The 2036-nt window shown below is 41.0% G+C and overlaps 1 annotated feature.

Annotated features, from left to right (window-relative positions):
- Nucleotides 364-954: an enhancer, noted in NCBI's record as "OCT4-NANOG-H3K27ac hESC enhancer chr18:28192518-28193108 (GRCh37/hg19 assembly coordinates)". NCBI's record gives its function as "activates a minimal SCP1, AML or CMV promoter by ChIP-STARR-seq in naive H9 embryonic stem cells {active_cell/tissue: H9 hESC(naive)}" and the evidence as "EXISTENCE:reporter gene assay evidence [ECO:0000049][PMID:30033119]".

Below are 2036 nucleotides of genomic sequence, written 5' to 3' on the forward strand. Positions count from 1 at the left end.
GACTCTGTCAAATGGCAGATTCTCTACACTGAATGTTCCTCTCCTACAATGAAGCCCACTGCGTATGGGGGGTGGATACCTAGACCCAGGTTCATTTTCCTTGTTGTACTTAGAAAGCACAGAAAACCACCAAGAACATAAAGCCTATGCTACCTCCTGTGCCATGGGGAATAAAGCCTTTCGTCTTTGACCCAAAAGTCTCATGTTGTCTGCCAGCATCCATGAAACGGTAATAGTCTAGTTTGTTAGTTTGCTATAGGCTAAAATCTGCACTGTTTTTTTTTTTTTAACAATTATGGCAAAGGGGTTGGGGTACTTTCACTTTCTGGAAACAGGCCAGGTTAGGGGATGTGAGAAGACTCCCTGGCATCTGGTAGAAAATGTTCTTTCTAAGTTGTGGGTAAGGCATGAAGGATTAAGGGTCCCCCCTGCTTTACCTGTGAATGAATGTTTAAAGAATAAACAGCAAGAGATAAAATTGAAACAAGTTGTCCAAATGGTGCTTTGATTTTTGTTCATTATTTTCTGGGTACAAATAGGAAAGGAATTATCATGGAATTTGTGCAGCAAGCTAAGCCATCATATCCCCTGTGACCTACACGTATAGATCCAGATGGCCTGAAGCAAGTGAAGAATCACAAAAGAAGTGAAAATGGCCAGTTCCTGTCTTAAGTGATGACATTACCTTGTGAAATTCCTTCTCCTGGCTCAGAAGCTCCCCCATTGAGCACCTTGTAACCCCGGCCCCTGCCAGCCAGAGAACATCCCCTTTGACTGTAATTTTCCACTACCTACCCAAATCCTATAAAGTGGCCCCACCCCATCTCCTTTCGCTGACTCTCTTTTCAGACTCAGCCGGCCTGCACCCAGGTGAAATAAACAGCCTTGTTGCTCACACAAAGCCTGTTTGGTGGTCTCTTCACAGGGACGCAAGTGACAAAGGCGAAAGGCAATATGGCTGAGGCCACTGAGTCTAGGGGTCTCCAGATCTGAAATGAATGGTGTCAGGAATAAGGACATAGAGCACTGACTAAAATGAAAACATTAGCAGTCAGTCTATTGAGTCCAAGAGGGCAGCTATGAAAAACTTACAGGGAATGCAAAGCTTTGGCTACTGGCAGAGTCTGTTTGTTTTCTCTCTCTCTCTCTCTCTCTCTCTCTCTCTCTCTCTCTCTCTCTCTCTCTCTCCCTCTCCCTCTCTCTCTCTCTCTGTGCTTCTTGATCTCTTCCTCCACCTTTACTCAAACCTATGATTTTTTAAGGCAAAAGCCTAATATTATAGAGAAGTTCATGGGGTGGAGGAAAACAAACTTTTATAGTTTGCTGGGATATAGGCACCCAAGTCAATATACTACCTAGTCCCAAGAGGGGTAGGGTTCGGAGCACAGGAATGGCTGAGGGCACTGTGAACTGAAGGCAGAGCTGCAGCAGCATGTGAAGGGGCAGAAAGAAAGAACTCCTGTGTGAGGCACTTTCCAGAATTAGGAGATGCATATGGAGAAGGTGACAACCAGTCCTTTAGTGAGAAACTGAAAAAAAACAAAAAGGTTCCCCGGTCAGCCTCCTTCCCTTCTTCCAGCCTCATGCCCCTGACACAGATAACATGAGCTCTTAGCCATCACAAATTGTCCCTGATAAGTGTTATTTAAAAGTCCTGTTCTTGCTTCAGTAAGGGAAAAAAATAAAAAAGAATCTAGGTATGATCAATAGGTTTTGGTCCACATAAGAATTTAGAAAATATTTTAAATTGAATTAAAATGAAACTATAAAACATGAAATAATGTGGTATGCAGCTATATCAGTGCTCAGAATTTTATAGCACTAATCTAGAAATAAGTATAAAAATAAAATAAAGGCATGACCAGATATAAATGAAATAAAATACTGAAAACAATAGAGAAAATCAATGAAACCAAAGGGTGATTTTTTTAAAAGATCAATAGAAATAATAAAATTCTAGCCAGAATAACAAAGAAAAAATAGAAACCAAAAATAGGAAAGAAATGGGGGATATTACTAAAAATCTTATAATTGTG

This window comes from Homo sapiens, chromosome 18 (genome assembly GCF_000001405.40).
Source record: "Homo sapiens chromosome 18, GRCh38.p14 Primary Assembly".
NCBI classification, from domain to species: domain Eukaryota; kingdom Metazoa; phylum Chordata; class Mammalia; order Primates; family Hominidae; genus Homo; species Homo sapiens.